The sequence below is a fragment of the Homo sapiens genome, chromosome 14, assembly GCF_000001405.40.
Source record: "Homo sapiens chromosome 14, GRCh38.p14 Primary Assembly".
In the NCBI taxonomy this organism is placed as follows: Eukaryota; Metazoa; Chordata; class Mammalia; order Primates; family Hominidae; genus Homo; species Homo sapiens.
Window position 1 is genome coordinate 37,743,508 of NC_000014.9, and position 22,374 is coordinate 37,765,881.

At 37.9% G+C, this 22,374-nt stretch overlaps 1 protein-coding gene across 15 annotated transcripts in view; it reads left to right on the top strand.

Annotated features, from left to right (window-relative positions):
- The window catches only part of TTC6 (tetratricopeptide repeat domain 6), a 247,089-nt gene that overhangs the window by 147,879 nt on the left and 76,836 nt on the right, over window positions 1-22,374 (top strand). For 14 of the 15 annotated variants that reach the window (XR_007064009.1, XR_001750287.2, NM_001310135.5 and 11 more), the window contains 4 exons: window positions 5,432-5,894; window positions 6,207-6,336; window positions 7,546-7,718; window positions 9,592-9,728. Coding sequence is in view for 13 of the 15 variants with exons in the window: in NM_001310135.5 (NP_001297064.2) it covers window positions 5,432-5,894; window positions 6,207-6,336; window positions 7,546-7,718; window positions 9,592-9,728 (903 nt within the window). In the remaining 2 variants the exon portion in view is untranslated. The remainder of the gene's footprint in view (window positions 1-5,431; window positions 5,895-6,206; window positions 6,337-7,545; window positions 7,719-9,591; window positions 9,729-22,374) is intronic. The other variant, XM_017021257.2, reaches the window with a different exon arrangement.

The window sequence follows — 22,374 nt, forward strand, 5'->3', positions numbered from 1 at the left end:
AGTCACAATTAACATATTTTTGGATGTTTATGTGGGAATATATTTTAACAAAGCTGTATGTATATGCATGTATGTGTGTATAATAGTGCTTGTATATCTATAAAGAAACCTTGAAATTATATACATCAAACTAAGGCAGTGATTATTTCTGGAATAATGAGAAGGGATTTGTGGGTGGTTCAGGAGTTAGTCTGGGATATGTATAGCTTCAAACTTAGGTTTAGAGGACCCCTCATTCAACTCTGTTATCTGGAACTTCCTCCTCATTCTTGCCTCTTTAGTATCCTTTCTGCAGTTTCTCTGCCTAGTAAAATTTCAGAGTACTGATCACAATTTCAGATGATACAGAAAAGTCAGGATATTGAAAGAGTGAAGCCTCTGAGTAGGCAAATGTGGATGGGACATAGAACACAAGTGATACAACTGAACTCCCAGGGAAGAGGTGTTGTGCATTATATGAAGAAAGCATCTTCCTTCCCTGGGAATGTATATTTTGTTTAAGAAAATGAGGTAAGTATTCAAGTCAGATAGCTCCTATATTTTCAATGAAGGCAAAGTTTATCAGCTTAAAGTGAAGAGTTGGAGGGACTGTAGTTAAATGTGATTTCTCTTATTAAATCATGGCACATAGTAGGAATTCAGCAACAATTTGATGAATGAATGAGTTCAGCCATTCATTTCTGCAACATACATTTATTGAGCACTACTCAGCAGTACTGCATTAGACAAGGAGCATAGGGCAAGGAACAAGATTGGCAAACTCCCTGTCCTCATAGAGCTTACATTGTAGTGGGAGAGAGTGGAGAGGTAAACAAATAACATTAGGAAGTGACAAATGTAATGAAGAAAATAAAGCAGTGCAGCAAAGGTTACTATTTTAGACAGAGTGGTCAGAAGCCTCTATAAGGTAGTGATATTTGAGCGTAGAACTGAATGGAATGAGGGAGTGAGGTGTTTGAATATCTGAAGTGGTCATAACAAGTGCAAAGGCCTTGAGTTGGAGACATGCTTTTTGCTTTTGAGGGACAGCATAGAAGTCAGTGTGGCTGGAACAGAGTGAGTGCAGGGTGGAAAGAAGCGAGGTTGAGGAAGTGGTCAGAGATAATACCATGTGGTGCCTTGCAGGCCAGAGTAAATTTGAAATTATTCTTAAGAGTGCCAAGAAATCATTGTGGACTTGAGAATGGGGTAGTGATGTTTATAGGTTATGGTAAAGACTTTGGATTCTTAATAGAAAAGGAAACACTGGGAGTTGGGAGCAGTGAGTTCATATGATCTAGTTTATGTTCCAGAAGGTTCGCTCTGGTTACTTGTGGAAAATAGATTGTAGTGGAGCAGGGAGACCAGTTAGAAAGCTGTTGAAATAATCTAGGTGAGAAATAGTTTCTTGGTTTGGGGTGATAGCAACCAAAGTAGTGGAAAGTGGTTAGATTCTAGATAGATTTTAGAAATAGGGACAACAGGATTTGCTTATGGGTTGGATATGGGATACACACACACACACACACCCACACACACACATATACACACGTACACATATATATGTACGTACATATACATATGTGTGTGTGTATATATATATGGAGAGAGTTGTCCCTGCCATATAAATGTAAACTTCATCAGATTCTCCTAAACTAGGGAAATGGAAAAGAAAGCATGTCAGGTCAACAGCTGCAAACCAGGTGCCAGGAGGTGTGTTCATTGCTTCAGTAAATATACCACATCTGGAACTAAAGCTGTAATTGTTATCACCACCTGATTAAATTTGTGATAATTTATAGTCACTTTCTACAAGCTATCTTTGTTTTACACTGGTGAAACAGGAAAGTAAAATGGAGATATGGTGGGAATTGCCACCTATATCCTTCAAGTCTCTGATGGTGCCACTAATGTGTAATTTCCCTGGAATCTGGTATTGCTTTTTGTTTGCTATCTTGGTGGATAGTGATGTGAGATGGGATGAGGACAGTTTCCGAGATTTCCACTTGGCCCTTACTACCATTATCTTCCTCAGTGTACAGTTTATTCCGTTATTACATGTATTTACTGCCACTGTACATTCTGGGACTAGGGAAATTATCAAAAAATGGGTCCATGTCTTACTAGGTCCACTGTTAAATGGTCTCAGGCCAAGATTCACTTGACTTTCATAATTCTTTAATTTGATTGATAAACGTCAGTGGGATTTGTAGTGGGTATCTGTGGATTAGCATAAGGTCAGAGCCAGTATGTAATTACCCCTGGAAGGTTTGAGTATTCCCCTTTCTCATACCTTTAGAAGATTTCAGGGAAAATTCACTGTGTATACCTAAGCCACATTGCAGGATTCTTCCGCAGTGGGACTTTGCCCAACCTTCCTGTTAAGAGAGGTTTTGGACTATGAACTGGCTGGGGTCTGAAAGCTGGGTAAAAGATTGTGAACCTCCACTATAGCTGGTTAGGTTTGTACCAGAAGACCTGTAAGTTTTCCCCTATGTAAGCCAAAGAACACCCAAGCAAGCTGCCCATTTATCTCATCTCTAAGCACCTTTAGGCATTTAGTTACTGCCACGAATCCTTGAGAGTTAAAATCCTGTTACTACTATTCTGTCTCTATTGCTTATTGTGGTCATTGTATCTACCATATCTGTAGTGGTAAATGGAATTTTACCACTCCAGGGTTCTATTATTCCCATTGGAATCAGTGAAACAAATTTCTTGGCTCCCGTTCCCCCACTGTCATTCTTTTCCAGCTCTGAGGTCAGCACCCACAAGGCTTTTCAAGGGTATTGTGCCCCCTCACTTATGCATTCTCTGGTCTCTCCAAGGGTTGGGACTTGACTAAGCACATTCCATATTGCAGACAAATTCCTATTTCCTGAACCTTAGAACTCATTCCTCTACAGCAATTGTTCTTATTGTGTAATCCATGCATGAGTGTTACCTGGGAACTTGTTAGAGGTGCAAGTTCTAGAACTCCACCCTAGGTCTACCAAATAAGAGACCCTGAGGGTGGAGCCTCAAAATCTGTATTTTTAACAAGCCTTTGGGTAATTCTGATGCATGCTGAAGTTTGAGAACCCTTCACTTAGAGTATTCCTGGGTGTTCTGGCTAAGGCTGTGTGTGGTGAGGCCAGCAGCCACCAACCCAAGGTCACCTCCATGGAGGAGATATGTGGGAGGCTGAGGGACTGTAATGGCTGTGGCTCCATGAGAGGGTTTGGGAGTCACAGCTGAGTGATTTCAGGGCATGCTTGAGGTAGGTGCATTACAGCATATGAGGCAATGTCACAGTATAGTCATTGAAAGAAACTTATGCAGGAGAGGACTGAGAGTCTCAGTTGGGGTATCTGACAATTCCTCAGCCAGTCTCCTCAGTAAAGGGAAGATAAGTGGAATTTGAAGATTTAAAATTGTCACTCTCATTCATACCTCCTTGCATGTTAACATCCCATATTTCAGTTTTCTGCTTCTTGCCTACTAGCTTTATTACCTTGGTGCACAAAGTTTAGAGGGTACTTAATAGATACTGCAACTACTCTTTGGTCTGAAAGAAGTAGTCAACTGAACATACAATTTTTATAATAATTATTGTTGTCCTAATGACTTAAAGCTCTTTGATCTCCCAATGCCTTGTCTTCCACCTGAACATCATTCCCTGCTAACACTGGTGATATTTGACAAATTTTTATACCACCACATGCCATGGATTACCCATGTCCTATTTCAACCTGGCAAGGAAGTTTTCCTAGAATCCTTTATGTGTGTGTGTGTTTCCTGAGTCCATCCCTGGTACTAATTACTTTGTCAGTGAACATCCCAATCACAAACACCACTCAGCTTAGGATAATATTTGGAGGTTATGATAAAGGAGAAATTTACAAAAATGTCAAAGTACAAGGAAACCAGAAATGATAATGCAGTATCCTGGGATTAAAAATGTAAAGCCATTTTCTACTCCTAAGTTTGAGAGAACAAAAAGAGGGAGTGATGACTAGAAGCTGAAAGAAAAGAGTTGTATAGTAATGGTTTTCTTGAAAGCAGTAGTGATCTTTTTACAAGGATCCTAGGTAGTTTGAGGAGACCCTTCATGAGGAAGCCAGAGGAATAAACACTTTGATTTCACTCTCCTCCTTCCCTCTGTTGGAGTTCCTAATTGGATAAACTTTATGAGAAGACAGAGACCAGGCGATCCTAAGGCTATAGTCTGTGCAGATCAGTTTCCTGAGACAGGGAGCAAGATGGAGAAGGGTAGAGATGAATATGGAGGTGCAAACGAAACATATCTGGCACAGAAGACCTTTCTAAAGTGACATTTGGTCAGAAATATGAATTGAGAAGGAGCCAGCCAGTCAGAAGGGCTGAAAAGGGCAATGGCCTTCAGGCTTGCTCAAGGATTACATGGCTGGAAAATAGGGAATGAGGGAGAGAGTAGTGGTGTGGAATATTTATGCTGGCACTTGATCATGTGGGGTCTTATGGACCATGGTGAAGGGCTTGATTTGCATACTAGGGGAAGCTCCTGGAGGAGTGATGTGATCTTATTTACATTTGTAAAACAAAAAACAAAAACTATGCCTGGCTGCCATGCAGAGAATGAGTTAGACAAAGGGCAAAAGTAGAAGCAGGGAATTAAGAAATTATTCTGCTCTAAGAAGAATAGATGATGGTGGCTTGCACTAGAATGTGGAAAGGAATAGATAACTTATGAAAGTAAGGAAAGGGAAGGAAACTAACTTTTCTTACTTTTGTTCTCCTAGTGTTCAGCACTAGGTATTTCTCATAGTACATATTCAGTAAATATGAAGTGATAGGGTAACTTTTTCTTATTCCGATAGACTGAGTTTATTCGTATTTCCTATGGCTAGTACAGTAGCAGCCCTATGGCACATGTTACTCAATGAAGACTATATTGCAAAGGAAGAATTTGAGAAGGCTAATCCTAGACTTGTAGCATTTGAAAGCATATTAGGTATTATTTAATTTGATAGCCTACTAGGAGGAGGGTAAAACTGGGATGTTCAGTTGATAGTCTGGGGTGTAGTCAACTCCTGCCTTCTTCCCACTGCCTCAAGTTCATGTCCTCTTTAATCTCTTGCATGGCATTTTTTTCTCACGTTATGTTTACTTCCTTAATTCTCCATTGTAATTCCTCTGGTGGCTGGTATTGTAGAGGGTGTAAATTAAACTCGAAAGGCACATTGACCTCATTTTTTTAGTACTGTAAGGAGGCTACATCTTTAAAAACAGTCTTTTGCTTTCATAAACTTGAGGGAGATTCTTCATACAGTGTTACCATTTTATTAAATGAAAAGGAGAACTTGCGCATAAAATTAGCATGTAATTTTGTTTTGATAACAAATAGTAGTTTTATGTGTGGCTGAGTTGATTTACTGATTAGAAAGATGATTGTATTTCTGTAATTTAAAAAAATCACTCTTTTAAAAACTAGATCAGCATCTCATGGAATACTTCCGGGACAGAAGAAATATTTGTTCAAAGTTCCATTATATGAACGTCAAATACGGTGTCCCAGTTTACCTTTGTATTTAAATTTTGAAAAATTCGTCCAAGCTAAGGGAGGAATTCCAGAAAATATTGATCCTCGGACATGGGCTCTTGATAGGCTCATTGAGTACAAAGATGCGAGCATACCTGTAAAAGAGAAAGATGATAAAATATCAGTTCCTGAAGACCCACCTGAAAGAGTGAAAGAACCACCAAAACTAAAATTAAATGATTATGTGGAGTCTGATCTTCCACAAGAGGTCATTAAATATTATGAATCTGAAGTGAAGATTTTGACTGAAGAAATAAATGATAAGACAAAATATCCTGCATTTGCATATTGTAGGCGTGGAGCTATTTATAGGAAACTGGGAAAGTTGCAGAGTGCCATGAATGATCTGCAGAGAGTAAGTTTTCTTTAACCAAAATAGTAATATTCACCATTTACACTTGCTTTTAATTGTATAGTAATTTTTGCTGAAATTTTGAACAATGAATGTTTATAGTATAGCATGTGGAATTATTATAACAGTATAATTATTTGCATTTTCAAGTAATTAATATTAAAAACATGATTTTTGTTTGTCAGATTGGGAGGTTTTATTTTATGTTACGTACATACAAAGCCACTGGGATCAACCGTGTTTTAAAAATTTATTTGATAGGATATCCTCCTTTAACAAATCAACTTTAACTGAATTTTTACATATATTTTCTAGGTAATACTCTTGGAACCATTGTTTCTCAATGCCTATTGGCATCGACATTTAATTTATCTTTTCCAAGACAAAATTAATGAAGCTTTGGATGACTTGAATTATATACATAAATATAATAAAAATAATACAGGTGGGTTGTCTGTAGAGACAGTTATATTACCTACATTTTGACCTCAGCCTTTGTCATTTATTGGTACTATAAGGATACATAAATCAGTAGATATATGTCCTGAAAATGACTTTCCTCAGTTAAATTTTTTTACTCTTGTTATTGTAAATCCGGGGCTCGTACAATCCTATAGTGTTTTTAAAATACCATGGTTTGAAAGGTTATTGTCCTTGATATATATTGCAGTAAGTTGGTTCCTTACTGCTCATCTCACAACGAAAGAATATGAATTTAAAATAGTTAGTTATAGAAGTAATTTACAAATCACTCTTTGATTTGTGTGATTTGATCACATCTCTCTGAGTTAGAGTTATTGTGCGCCTAGGATTACTTGGTTGTATGAAATCTATATCTTTGCTCTTATGTACTATCCTCCAACCAACTTGAAGCACTAGACATGGAACTTTCTAGGAATGTGAAAATGTGATATTCACCTTTGTATCCCCAGCACCTACAACATACCCATAAAATAAAACATGAGCTTAATAAATGATTTTTGACCTGTGTTGATCTCTGCTAAAAGTCCATTAAGTTTTGTGTCATCACAACCTAACCTTTTACTATGATGATTAAAGGATTACGAAAAAACATTTTAGACATATGGAAAGGTAAAAGGTAATTTTTGTTACTTCAAATTGAAAGTACCTTTAACCATAAATGAGCATTTATCCAGCCTTTGAGAACAAATTTGGCATTGTCGAAATCAAAATTAAATGAAATGGGCCCAGGCACAGTGGCTTACGCCTGTAATCCCAGCACTTTGGGAGGCTGAGGTGGGCAGATGACATGAGCCTAGGAGTTTGAGACCAGCCTGGGCAACATGGTGAACCCCTGTGTCTATAAAAAAAAATACAAAAATTAGCTGGGTGTGGTGGCATGCATCTGTAGTCCCAGCTATTTAGGAGGCTGATGTGGGAGGATTGCTTGAGCCCTGGAGGTCGAGGCTGCAGTGAGCCATGATTGTGCCACTGCACTCCAGCCTTGGTGACAGAAGGAGATCCTGCCTAAAAAAATAAAATAAAATAGAATAAAATAAGATAAACTAATAAGAAAGTGTAATAGAGAAAAATTATTTTGACTACATTTGTGGAGGGAGAGGGATTACTCTTAAAATTTTCATAGGAATGAAAGGATTATAACTCCAAATTTTATCTTTTTAATTTTCTTTAGAGGCATATTTGTCAAAAGCAGAAATTTACAGGGGAAAAAAAGACATAACTTTGGCAATTCTAAACTATACCCAGGCAATTAAATCCACGCCCACAGATGCTGATATCTATTTCAGGAGGGGTGAGATGTATGAAATAACAAACAAAGTACTGGCCATTGATGACTTTTCGAAAGTAAGCTTTATCACATATAATTCTACCATTTATATAGTTTAGATTGCGATATCCTCATGCAAATAGTACAGCAAGTTTTTGAAGGTCTTTTTGTATATATTATATAATCAAAATTGATTTATTACAGGTTAGGAGCTAGAGTTTTCATTACTGGAATTAATATTAACACTATGTTAATTATTATTTTTTAAATGGTGAATGAATGAATTTACATCAGAATTGAGTGTGGAGGCATTGAGATAACATGTAGGGGGCCCAGCTTTTCCAGCTGCCTCCTCTGGAGCCATGCTACAGTGGTTAAAGAAGCCTTTGAAAATTGCTTCTTACCTTTAAACATTAAAGAAAAATATTTTCTACTTTTTAACTCTTGAATAGCTGATTCTTTTCTGCAGGGAACCTATCTGCTCTCAAAGAAGCTGTGCTTACTGGTTCGTTCATACGTTCATTCACTCATTCGCTTGCTTGAAACTATTTATTTACTATTATAAATTATGATATTAAGGCATTGTTACAAATTATGGTAAGTACTATGAAGGAAATAAGGATGGTGGGAGAGTAACTTATGTTTAGGAGATACCAGAGAATTGAGGAAATGAACTTTTTTTTTTTTTTTTTTGAGGCAGAGTCTTGCGCTGTTGCCCAGGCTGGAGTGCAGTGGTGCGATCTCGGCTCACTGCAAGCTCTGCCTCCGGGATTCACGCCATTCTCCTGCCTCAGCCTCCCAAGCAGCTGGGGCTACAGGTGCCCGCCACTATGCCCGGTTAATTTTTTTTGTATTTTTAGTAGAGATGGGGTTTCACTGTGTTCGCCAGGATGGTCTCGATCTCCTGACCTCGTGATCCGCCCACCTTGGCCTCCCAAAGTGGTGGGGTTACAGGCGTGAGCCACCGTGCCCGGCCAGGAAATGAACTTTTAACTGAACCGTAGTCAAGGCAAAATATTCCCCTGATTGCAGTACAATTCTAACTCTGATCTCCTGACTTTAAACTCCAAATTGTTATTCCTTACTGCAATTAAGAATTTAGAAGCAATTATTTAAATTATTTAAATAATTTAAGTTTCCATTTTCCCAACTGCCCTATTTATGAATCCATGACATCCACTTGACATTTTTCTGCTTGAGGAGAATATTATATATTTTGTTAACTTCTGGTCTAGAAATGACCAAAAAGCTCTTTTGAAGATGCTGAAATTGTTAGATTATCTATTCTCTTCATTTCCCCTATCCTGCACCAATAGTTTAGAAATAGAGTAATGCAGTACATTGAGGTCAAATTTTGAAATCTTTAGGATTTTTTTTTTTATTTTAAAAATATTTGGTCATCTCCTTTGTGTTTCAGTTCTTTTCTACTAACAATAGGTGAAGAGCTTTATAATTGATATATGATTTAGTCTGTTTATTACTTTGTATGTCAATGTAAAATGAATGAGCCATGCCAATAATAATTCAATTCTCTTCCCCATTTTAATGGCTAGATTAATATATATTTTATGTGATTGAATCAGCCTTGATGTAGTCTAATATGTTATGTCTTTAGGATAAAATGCTGAGATAGATCCAATGAACTCCACTCTAGTTGAACAATTCACTTATGAATTTTTATCAGCAAATTTTCAGTGGGCAGAAGCCTGGGCTTCCTGTATATGCCGGTTTTTTTTTTCTCTTAAAAAATACTCCCTCTCTAGAATTTGATGATGGAAAAAATCTCCTAAAGAAATATTCTTTAGCTACAACTCTGAAAATTTTGACATCTTCAGATGGTTTGCTTTTATTAACCCGAAGTTAAAAACATAGTTTTAGATCACTTATGTGATTATATACTTCATTTTTTTTCATTTTGTGATGTTTATGTACCTCCCGCTGTCCCTATAGTGTATTTTTTATGATCCCAAAAGAACAGATGCATTATTGAAACGTGGGCTGTTTTATTGTGAAAATGAAAACTGGTTTGCAGCCATAGAGGATTTTACAGCCTTGTTAAATATAGATCACCAAAATTCTCAAGCAAGGTAAGAATGATTTTAGATGTCGTTTTAAAATTATTACTATTATTTGAAATACATTTTCAGAACAGAAAATTGCTTGAAATACATCAGACAGCTCTTTAAAAACAATGAATCAATTTTCAGTGCCACCAGTAAATGAAAAATCCTTGCTTACACCCTAATGGTGTCGGTAATTTAATGGGCATAAATGACAATTTAAAATTGTTTCATTTGCATTTCCTAAATACTAGTTACATTATCAATTTCTAAAGCATTGCCTACCACCTTGCATCTCTTCTTCATATCCTTTGTACTTTGAGCACAGAAAACTATTCATACAGTTTCTTGCAGTTATCTTTTGTTTACTTATTTATAGAGATGGAGTCTCACACTATCACCCTGTCTACGGTGCAGTGACGCAGTCATGGCTCACTGCAGCCTGAATCTCCTGGGCTCATGCGATCCTCCCACCTCTTCCTCACAAGTAGCTAAGACTACAAGGCTGTGCTTCCACAGCCAGTTAATTTTTCAATTTTTTTTTTTTTTTTTGTGGAAATGGGATCTCGCTTTGTTGCCTAGGTTGTTTTTGAACTCCTGGCTTCAAGGGATGTACTATTTTATTGTATTGTATATTAAACTTCGTGCATTGTACAGTTTTCATTTGTACATAGCATAGTTTTCATTATCCTATTGTATTGTATATTAAACTTCGTGCATTGTACCGTTTTCATTTGTACATAGCATAGTTTTCATTTTGTTGCTTTTCTTTTAATCTAAATTTTGTTTTGAAGTGGTTTAAAATATGTATATAATCACGTCTACTGATCTTTTCAGTTGCAGTTTTTAATTTTAAATCATTTTTTAAAATATTATTTTATTTTAGTTTAAGTTCTGGGATACATGTGCAGAACGTGCAGGTTTGTTAGATACACATGTGACATGGTGGTTTGCTGTACCCATCAACCTGTCATCTAGGTTTTAAGGCCTGCATGCATTAGGAATTTGTCCTGATGCTCTCCCTCCCCTTGCCCCTGACCCCTGACAGGCCCTGGTGTGTGATGTTCCCCTCCCTGTGTCCATGTGTTCTCATAGTTCAATTCCCACTTATAAGTGAGAACATCCGGTGTTTGGTTTTCTGTTCCTGTATTAATTTGCTGAGAATGATGGTTTCCAGCTTCATCCATGTGCAAAGGACATGAACTCATTCTTATCTTTTTCTTTCTTTCTTTTTTTTTTTTGAGACAGAATTTCGCTCTTGTCACCCAGACTGGAGTGCGATGGCAAAGTCTTGGCTCACTGCAACCTCTGCCTGCTGGGTTCAAGTGATTTTCCTGCCTCAGCCTTCCGAGTAGTTGGGATTACAGGCATCTGCCACCACACCTGGCTAATTGTTGTATTTTTAGTAGAGACAGGGTTTTACCATGTTGGCCAGGCTGGTCTCAGACTTCTGACCTTAGGTGATCCACCCATCTTGGTCTCCCAAAGTGCTGGGATTACAGGCATGAGCCACCATGCCCGGACTGGACTCCTTCTTTTTTATGGCTGCATAGTATTCCATGGTGTATATGTGCCACATTTTCTTTGTAAGTCTATAATTGATGGGCATTTGGGTTGGTTCCAAGTCTTTGCTATTGTAAATATTGCTGCAGTAAACATATGTGTGCATGTGTCATTATAGTAGAATGATTTATAATCCTTTGGGTATATACCCTGTAATGGGATTGCTGTATCAAATTCTATTTCTGGTTCTAGATCCTTGAGGAATTGCCACACTATCTTCCACAATGGTTGAACTAATTTACACTCCCACCAACAGTGTAAAAGCGTTCCTACTTCTCCACACCCTTTCCAGCATCTGTTGTTACCTGACTTTTTATCAGCATTCTAACTGGCATGAGATGATATCTCATTGTGGTTTTGATTTGCATTGATGATCTTTTTTTCATATGTTTGTTGGCTTCATAAATGTCTTCTTTTGAGAAGTGTATGTTCACATTCTTTGCCCACTTTTTGATGTTTTTTTTTCTTGTAAATTGGTTTAAGTTCCTTGTAGATTCTGGATATTAGACCTTTGTCAGATGAATAGATTGCAAAAATTTTCTTCCATTCTGCAGGTTGCCTGTTCATTCTGATGATAGTTTCATTTGCTGCACAGAAGCTCTTTAGTTTAATTAGATCCCATTTATCTATTTTGGCTTTTGTTGCCATTGCTTTTGGTGTTTTAGACATGAAGTCTTTGCCCATGCCTATGTGCTGAATGGCATTGCCTAAGTTTTCTTCTAGGGTTTTTATGGTTTTAGGTTTTATGTTTAAATATTTATTCCATCTTGAGTTAATTTTTGTATAAGGTGTAAGGAAGGGGTCCAGTTTCTGTTTTCTGCATATGGCTAGCCAGTTTCCCCAGCACCATTTATTAAATAGGGAATCCTTTCCCTGTTGCTTTTTATGTATATATGTGTGGTGTTATTTCTGAGGTCTCTGTTCTGTTCCATTGGTCTCTGTATCTGTTTTGATACCAGAACCATGCTGTTTTGGTTACTGTAGCCTTGTAGTATAGTGTGAAGTCAGGTAGTGTGATGCTTCCAGCTTTGTTCTTTTTGCTTAGGATTGTCTTGGCTATATGGGGTATTTTGTGGTTCCATATGAACTTTAAAATAGTTGTTTCTAATTCTGTGAAGAAAGTCAGTGGTAGCTTGATGGGAATAACATTGAATCTACAAATTACTTTGGGCAGTATGGCCATTTTCATGATAATGATTCTTCCTATCCGTGAGCATGGAATGTTTTGCCATTTGTTTGTCTCCTCTCTTATTTCCTTGAGCAGTGGTTTGTACTCCTTGAAGAGGTCCTTCATGTCCCTTGTAAGTTGTATTCTTAGATATTTTATTCTCTTTGTAGCAATTGTGAATGGGAGTTCACTCATGATTTGGCTCTCTGTTCGTCTATTATTGGTGTATAGGAATGCTTGTGATTTTTGCACATTGATTTTGTATCCTAAGACTGCTGAAGTTGCTTATCAGCTTAAGGAGATTTGGGGCTGAGATGATGGCGTTTTCTAAATATACAATCATGTCGTCTGCAAACAGAGATAATTTGACTTCTTCTCTTCCTATATGAATATGCTTTATTCCTTTCTCTTGCCTGATTTCACTGGCCAGAACTTCCAATACTATGTTGAATAGGAGTGGTGAGAGAGGCATCCTTGTCTTGTGCCAGTTTTCAAAGGGAATGCTTCCAGCATTTGGCCATTCTGTGTGATATATATTATGGGTTTGTCATAAATAGTTCTTATTATTTTGAATACATTCCTTCAATGCCTAGTTTATTGAGAGTTTCTAGCATGAAAGGGTGTTGAATTTTATTGAAGGCTTTTTCTGCATCTATTGAGATAATCATGTGATTTTTGTTATTGGTTCTATTTATGTGATGGATTACATTAATTTGTTTGCGTATGTTGAACCAGCCTTGCATCCCAGGGATAAAGCCGACTCAGTCATGGTGGATAAGCTTTCTGATGTGCTGTTGGATTTGGTTTGCCAGTATTTTATTGAGGATTTTCACATCGATGTTCATCAGCGATATTGACCTGAAATTTTCTTTTTTTTTGTTGTGTCTCTACCAGGTTTTGGTATCAGCATGATACTGTCCTCATAAAATGAGTTACAGAGGAGTCCCTCTTTTTCTATTGTTTGGAACAGTTTCAGAAGGAATGGTACTAGCTTCTCTTTGTACCTCTGGTAGAATTCGTCTGTGAATCTGCCTGGTCCTTGACTTTTTTTGGTTGGCAGGCTATTAATTACTGCCTGAATTTCAGAACTTGTTATTGGTCTATTCAGGGATTCGATTTCTTCCTGGTTTAGTCTTGGGAGGGGGTATGTGTCCAGGAATTTATCCATTTCTTCTAGATTTTCTAGTTTGTGTGGAGGTGTTTGTAGTGTTCTCTGATGGTAGTTTGTATTTCTGTGGGATCAGTGGTCATATCCCCTTTATCATTTTTTATTGTGTCTATTTGATTCTTCTCTTTTCTTCTTTATTTTAATTAATTAATTAATTAATTACTTTTTCTTGAGATGGAATCTTGCTCTGTCACCCAGGCTGGAGTGCAGTGGCTCGATCTTGGTTCACTGCAAGCTCCGCCTCCCAGGTTCATGCCATTCTCCTGCCTCAGCCTCCTGAGTAGCTGGGACTACAGGTGTCTGCCACCATGCCCGGCTAATTTTTTATTTTTATTTTTTGTATTTTTAGTAGAGATGGGGTTTCACCGTGTTAGTCAGGATGATCTCGATCTCCTGACCTCGTGATCCACCCACCTTGGCCTTCCAAAATGCTGGGATTACAGGCATGAGCCACTGCGCCTGGCCTTCTTCTTTATTAATCTAGCTAGAGATCCATCTATTTGTTAATCTTAAAAAATAAAAAACCAACTCCTGGATTCATTGATTATTTGAAGGGTTTTTCATGTCTCTACCTCCTTCAGTTCTGCTCTGATCTTTTTTATTTCTTCTCTTCTGCTAGCTTTTGAATTTGTTTGCTCTTGCTTCTCCAGTTCTTTTAATTGTGATATTAGGGTGTCGATTTTAGATTGTTCCTGCTTTCTCTTGTGGGCATTTAGTGCTATAAATTTCCCTCTTAACTTTAGCTGTGTCCCAGAGATTCTGGTATGTTGCGTCTTTGTTCTTATTGCTTTCAAAGAACTTATTTATTTCTGTCTTAATTTCATTATTTACCCAGTAGTCATTCAGGAGCTGGTTGTTCAGTTTCCATGTAATTATGCGGTTTTAACTGAGTTTCTTAATCCTGAGTTCTAATTTGATTGCACTGTGGCCTGAGATACTGTTTGTTATGATTTCCATTCTTTTGCATTTGCTGAGGAGTGTTTTACTTCCAATTATGTGGTCCGTTTTAGAATAAGTGTGATGTGGTGCTGAGAAGAATGTATATTCTGTTGATTTGGTGTGGAGAGTTCTGTAGGTGTCTCTTAGGTCCACTTGGCCCAGAGCTGAGTTCAAGTCCTGAATATCCTTGTCAATTTTTTGTCTTGTTGATATGTCCAATATTGACAATGGAATGATAAAGTCTCCCATTATTATTGTGTGGGAGTCTAAGTCACTTTGTAGGTCTCTAAGAACTTGCTTTGTGAATCTGGGTTCTCCTGTATTGTATTGGGTGCATATATATTTAGGATAGTTAGCTCTTCTTGTTGAAGTGATCACTTTACCATTATGTAACGGCCTTCTTTGTCTTTTTTGATCTTTGTTTATTTAAAGTCTGTTTTATCAGAGACTAAGATTGTAACCCCTGCTTTTTTTTGCTTTCCATTTGCTTGGTAGTTCTTCCTCCATCCCTTTATTTTGAGCCTATGTGTATCTTTGCAAGAGAGATGGGTCTCCTGAATGTAGCACACCGATGGGTCTTGACTCTTTATCCAATTTGCATGTCTGTATCTTTTAATTTGGGCATTTAGTCCATTTACATTTAAGGTTAATATTGTGTTGTGTGAATTTTATCCTGTCATCATGATGCTAGCTGGTTATTTTATACATTAGTTGGTGCAGTTTCTTCATAGTGTCATTGGTCTTTATATTTTGGTGTGTTTTTGCAGTGGCTGGTACCGGTTTTTCCTTTCCATGTTTAGTGCTTCCTTCAGGAGCTCTTGTAAGGCAGGCCTGGTGGTGACAAAATCCATCATCATTTGCTTGTCTGGAAAGGATTCTATTTCTCCTTCACTTATGAAGCTTAGTTTGGTTGGATATGAAATTCTGGGTTGCAAATTCTTTTCTGCTGGGTGTGGTGGCTCACGCCTGTAATCCCAGCACTTTGGGAGGCCAAGGTGGGCAGATCATGAGATCAGGAGATTGAGACCATCCTGGCTAACATGGCAAAACTCTGTCTCTACTAAAAATTAGCCAGGCGTGGTGGCATATGCCTATAGTCCCAGGTACTCAGGAGGCTGAGGCAGGAGAATCGCTTGTACCTGGGAGGCGGAGGTTGCAATGAGCCGAGATCGCACCACTGTACTACAGCCTGGGCGAAATAGCCAGACTCCATCTCAAAAAAAAAAAAAGAAAAAAAGAAAAAAAAGAAAGTTCTTTTCTTTAAGAATGTTGAATATTGCCACCCCACTCTCTTCTGGCTTGTAGGGTTTCTGCAGAGAAATCCACTGTTAGTCTGATGGGCTTCCCTTTGTGGGTAACTTGACCTTTCTCTTTGGCTGCCCTTAACATTTTTTCCTTTGTTTCAGCTTTGGAGAATTTGACGATTATGTTTCTTGGGATTGCACTTCTCGATGAGTATTTTAGTGGTGTTCTCTGTGTTTCCCGAATTTGAATGTTGGCCTGTTTCGCTAGATTGCGGTTCTCCCGGATAACATCCTGAAGTGTGTTTTCCAACTTGGTTCCATTCTCCCTGTTACTTCCAGGTATACCAATCAATCGTAGGTTTGGTCTTTTCACATAGTCCCATATTTCTTGGGGGCTTTGTTCATTCCTTTTCATTCTTTCTTGTCTAATCTTGTCTTCACATCTTACTTCAGTAAGTTTATCTTCAATGTCTGATATCCTTTTTTCTACTTGATTGATTTGGCTATTGATACTTGTGTATGCTTCACGAAGTTCTTGTCCTTGTTTTTCAGCTCCATCAGGTCATTTATCTTCTTCTCGAAATTGGTTATTCTAGTTAGCAGTTCCTGTTAACCTGTTATCAAGGTGTTTAGCTTCCTTGCATTGGGTTAGAATATGCTCCTTCAGCTCAGAGGAGCTTGTTATTACCCACCTTCCGAAGCCAACTTCTGTCAATTCGTCAATCTCATTCTCTATCCAGTTTTGTGCCCTCACTGGAGAGGAGTTGCAATCATTTGGAGAAGAGGCATTCTGGTTTTTGGAATTTTCAGCTTTTTTGCACTGGTTCTTCCTCATGTTCGTGGATTTATCTATCTTTGATCTCTGAGGCTGATGACCTTTGGATGGGGTTTTTGTGTGGGTGTCCTTTTTGTTGATGTTGATGTTGTTGCTTTCTGTTTGTTAGCTTTTCTTCTAAGAGTCAGGCCCCTGTTCTGTAGGTCTGCTGCAGTTTGCTGGAGGTTCACTTCAGAACCTGTTTGCCTGGGTATCACCAGTGGAGGCTGCAGAAAAGCAGTTTGCTTCCTGCTCCTTCCTCAGGAACCTTTGTCCCAGAGGGGCACTGGCCTGATTCCAGCCAGAGCTCTCCTGTATGAGGTGTCTGTCGACCCCTGTTGGGAGGTCTCTCCCAGAAAGGAGGCACAGGGGTCAGGGACCCACTTGAGGAGGCAGTCTGTCCCTTAGCAGAGCTCAAGTGCTGTGCTGTTAGAATCTTCCTTGTCAGGATCAGCTGCTCTCTTCAGAGCCAGCAGGCAGGAACGTTTAAGTCCACTGAAGCTGCACCCACAGCTGCCCCTTTCCTCAGGTGCTCTGTCCCAGGGAGATGGGAGTTTTATCTATAAGCCCCTAACTGGGACTGCTGCCTTTCTTTCAGAGACACCCTGCCCAGTGAGGAGGAATCTAGAGAGGCAGTCTGGCCACAGCCGCTTTGCCGCACTGTGGTGAATTCCCCCCAGTCCAAACCTCCCTGGCCTCCTTAGCACTATCAGGGGAAAACCACCTACTCAAGCCTCTGTAATGATGGATGCCCCTCCCTGCACCAAGTTAGATCATCCCAGGTCGACTTCAGACTGTTGCCCTGGCAGCGAGAATTTCAAGCCAGTGGTTCTTAGCTTGCTGGGCTCCATGGGAGTGGGACCCACTGAGTGAGACAACTTGGCTCCCTGGCTTCAGCCCCCTTTCCAGGGGAGTAAGTGGTTCTGTCTCACTGGAGTTCCAGGTGCCACTGGGGTACTAAAAAGAACTCCTGCAGCTAGCTCGGTGTCTGCCCAAACAGCCACCCAGTTTTGTGCTTGAAACCCAGGGTCCTTGTGGTGTAGGCACACAGGGAGTCTCCTGATCTGCAGATTGCAATAACCATGGGAAAAGTGTAGTATCTAGGCTGGGTAGCATAGTCCCTCATGGCTTCCCTTGGTTGGGGAGGGAGGTCCCTGGCTCCTTGCACTTCCCAGGTGAGGCAACACCCCACCCTGCTTCTGCTTGCCTTCTGTTGGCTGCACCCACTGCCTAACCAGTCCCGATAAGATGAACTGGTACCTCAGTGGGAAATGCAGAAATCACCCACCTTTTGCGTGGGTCTTGCTGGGAGCTGCAGACCAGAACTCTTCCTATGCGGCCATCTTGGCTGATCTCCCTAAATCATTTTTAAGGTAAAATAAAGCTTATATCCAGAAAAGTGTACAAAATGGAAATGTACAGCATAATGACTTATCATAGTGTCAATACCCATGTAACCATCATCAGGTCATTTCCAACAATCTAGAAACCCCCTCATGCCTTTGTCTTTCCTGGGGGAAGACAACCACTGTCTATTTTAATCACTTCCTTATAGTTCTTTATAGTTGCCTCAAATAAGTATGTGTTCGTAAACATTCTTAGTTTAATTTTGCCTATTTTTTGAACTTTATATAAATTGAATTATATGATAGTATTCTTTTATGTCTAGCTTCTTTCTCTGAGTATTATGTGCTGTTGCATGTGGCTCTAGTTTCTTCACTTCATATTTATGGGATACAAAGTGATGTTATGATACATGTATACAATCTGTGATGATTGAATTGAGCTTATTAACATATCCGTCACCTCAAATACTTACCATTTTTTCCTCCTGTCTAACTGAAACATTGTACTCTTTGACCAACAATTCCCCATTTTTCATAACACCCAACCTCTAATAACCAGTATTGTTCTACTCGCTGCCTCTATATATTTGTTTTAGATTCCACATATAAACGAGAACATTTGGTATTTTTCTCCGCCTGGCTTATTTTGCTTAACATAATGTCTTCCAAGTTAATTCGTATTGTTGTAAGTGGTGGGATTTCCCTTTTTTTTTAAGAAAAGGCTGAATAGTATTTAATTGTGTATATAAGACACATTTTCTTTGCTTATTCATCTGTTGATAGACACTTAGCTTGATTTCTTATCTTGGCTATTGTAAATAATGCTCTAAGAAATGTGGAGTACAGATGTCTCTTTGACATACTGATTTCAAATACTTTGGATATATACCCAGAAGTGGATTGCTGGACCATATGGTGACTCTATTTTTAGTTTTTAAGGCACCACCATACTGTTTTTCATAATGGCTGTATTAACTTAAAATCCCACCAACAGTGTACAAGAGTTCCCTTTTCTCAAAATCCTCGCCAAATTTGTTATCTTTCATCTTTTGGTAATAGTGTGAAGTGATAGCTCATTGTGGTTTTAATTTTTCATTTCCCTAATGATGTTGAGCATTTTTTCATATACCTGTTGGTCATTTATATGTCTTCTTTTGAGAAATATGTACTCAGGTCTTTTGCCCATTTTTTAATTGGGTTGTTTTCTCCCATTCTGAAGGTTGCTTCTTCACTTTAATTGTTTCCTTTGCTGTGCAGAAGCTTTTCAGTTTGATGTAATGCCACTTGTGTATTTTTGCTTTTGTTTTCATTCAATTTATGTGGTATATTACATTGATTTATTTACACGTGTTGAACCAACCTTGTGTTACTAGGATTAATCCCGCTTGATCGTAGTGTATCTTTCTTTTTCTTTTTCTTTTCTTTTCTTTTCTTTTTTTTTTTTTTTTGAGACGGAGTCTGGCTCTGTTCCCCAGGCAGGCTGGAGTGCAGTGGTGCCATCTGGGCTCACTGCAAGCTCCACCTCCCGGGTTCACGCCATTCTCCTGCCTCAGCCTCCGGAGTAGCTGGGACTACAGATGCCCACCACCACACCCGCCTAATTTTTTTTTTGTATTTTTAGTAGAGACGGGGTTTCACCATGTAAGCCAGGATGGTCTCAATCTCCCGACTTCATGATCCGCCTGCCTCAGCCTCCCAAAGTGCTGGGATTACAGACGTGAGCCACTGCACCCGGCCCTGTATCTTTCTTTTAATATACTGTTGCATTCAATTTGCTCATATTTTATTGATGATTTTTGCATCTATATTGGTAAGGGACATTGGTGTGTGTTTGTGCTGTCTTTGTCTGGCTTTAATAACAGGGTAATGCTGCTTTAATAAAGTGAATGAGGAAGTATTTTCTTCTTTATTTGTAGGGAGATTTTGAGAACGCTTGGTGTTAATTTTTCAGACACTTGGTAGAATTTACTGTTGACATGTTCTGGTCCTTGGCTTTTCTATGTTTTTTGATGACTAATTCAATTTCTTCGCTTGATATGATCTATTCAGGCTTTCTATTTCTTCTTGAGTTGGTTTTGGAAGTTTGGGTATTTCTAGGAATTTCGTCATTTCTTCTAAGTTCTTCCAATTTGTTAGCATGCAATTGTTCATAGTATTCTTTTACATAATACTACTTTTTATTTCTTCAAGGGTAGTAGCAATGTTCACACTTTCATTTCTTATTTTCGTAATTTGAGTCATCTTTTCTTCTTAGTCGGTCTAGCTAAGGAATTGTCAATTTTGTTGATATTTAAAAACACCAACATTTGGCTTTGTTGATTCTATTGTTTTCATATTCTCTATTTCATTTATCTTTGCTCTAATCTTTATTATTTCCTTCCTTCTGCTTGCTTTAGGTTTAGTTTTCTTTTATTTTTCTTGGCTTATTAAGGCAGAAAGTAACGTTACTGGCTTGAGATCTTTCTTCTTATTTAATGTATGCATTTATAGCTATACATTTCTCATTGCTTTGCTGCATCTCCTAAGTTTTGGTATGTTGTATTACCTTTCATTTGTCTCAAAGTATTTTTTAATTTCCTTTGTAATTTTCCCTTTGACCTATCTGCCATTTAATTTCCACGTACTTGTGAATTTCCCAAATTTTCTTCTGTTATTGTTTTCTAGTTTTATCCATTGTAGTTAGAAAATATACTTTGTATGATCCATCTTTAAAATTTACTGGGACTTGTGTTATGGCCTAACATATGGTCTGTCCTAAGAATGTTCCAAGTTTGCCTGAGAAGAATTTGTACTCAGCTGTTGTTAGATGAAGTGTTCTATATATGTTTGTTAGGTCTAGTTAGTTTATACTACTGTTCAAGTCCTCTGTTTCATTGTTGAACTTCTGTCTAGTTGTTCTATTCATAATTGAAAGTGAGGTATTGAAGTCTCCAACTATTATTATAGAATTGTTTATTTCTCCCTCCAATTCTGTTAGTCTTTGCTGCATATATTTTGGGGCTCTGTTTTTGACTGTGTTTATAATGGTCATATCTTACTGATTGATTGACTCTTTCATCAATATGTAATGGTCTTCTTTGTCCCTTGTATTAATTATTGCCTTAAAATCTATTTGGTCTGATATTAGCAAAGCTACTCCCACTCTCTTTTGGCTAATATTTGTGTGGAATACCTTTTCCCATCCTTTCACTTTCAACCGATTTGTATCTTTGATCTGAATTGAGTTTTTTTCCTAGATATCATGTAGCTATATTATAGTTTGTAAAAATTATTTTCCCAATATCTTCCTTTAGATTAGACAATTTAACCTATTTACATTTAATGCAATTAATGTTAAGGAGAGATAACTCTGCCATTTTGCTATTTGTTTTTCATATGTATATTTTATATTGTATTTTGTATATTTTGTGTATTATATTGTATACTGTATTTATATTTTTTATATTGTATATTTTTTGTTTTTCAATTTCTCCATAATTGCTTTACTTTTTAATTGATTTTTTTCTACCATTTTGATTTCCTTCTCATTTCTTTTACTGTATAATTTTTAGTTATTGTCTTTGTGATTACCTTTGAATAATGATGTTAATTTATAATAATGTAGTTTGAATTAATATCAACTTAGTTTCAATAGTCTATAAAAATTTTGTGCCTGTATAAGTTTGTCCCCAACTTGATGTTGTTATTGTTGCAAATTACATCTTTATAAATATTAAAAAAATTTTTTTTAGAGACAGGATCTCACTCTGTGCCCCAGGCTGGAATATAGTGGTGCAATCACAGCTTACTACAGTCTTGAACTCCTAGGCTCAAGTGATCCTCCCACCTCAGACTCCCAGGTAGCTAGGACTATAGGTGCACACCACCACACCTAATTTTTTTTTTTTTTTTTTTTGTAGAGAGGCACAAAATTTAAATTAAAAAAAAAATTTGTAACCCAGGTTAGTTTCAAACGCTTCGCCTCAAGCAATCCCCCAACTTTGTGATCCTGAAGTGCTGGGATTACAGACATGAGCCACTGCACCCTATCACAAATTACATCCTTATACATTGTATGCCCAGTGACATAGACTTATTAGTGTTTTATGCATTTGTCTTTTATGTCACATAGAACAAAAAGAGTAATTAGAAACCAAAAGTACTGTGCTACTGGCTTTTAAATTTACCTATTCAGTACTTTTGTTGGTGTTCTTTACCTTGTTGTATGGTTTCAAGTTTCCATCTAGTGTCTTTCATGTCAGCCTTAGGGACTCCTTTCAGCCTTTTTTGTAAAATAGGTTTACTAGCAATGGACTTCTTCAGGTTTCATTTACTCGGAAATGCTTTGATTTCTCCTTCATTTTTGAAGGCTAGTTTGCCAGGTATAGAATTCTTGCTTGATTTTTTTTTAAAGCACTTTAAATATGTTATCTACTGCCTTCTGATCTCTGT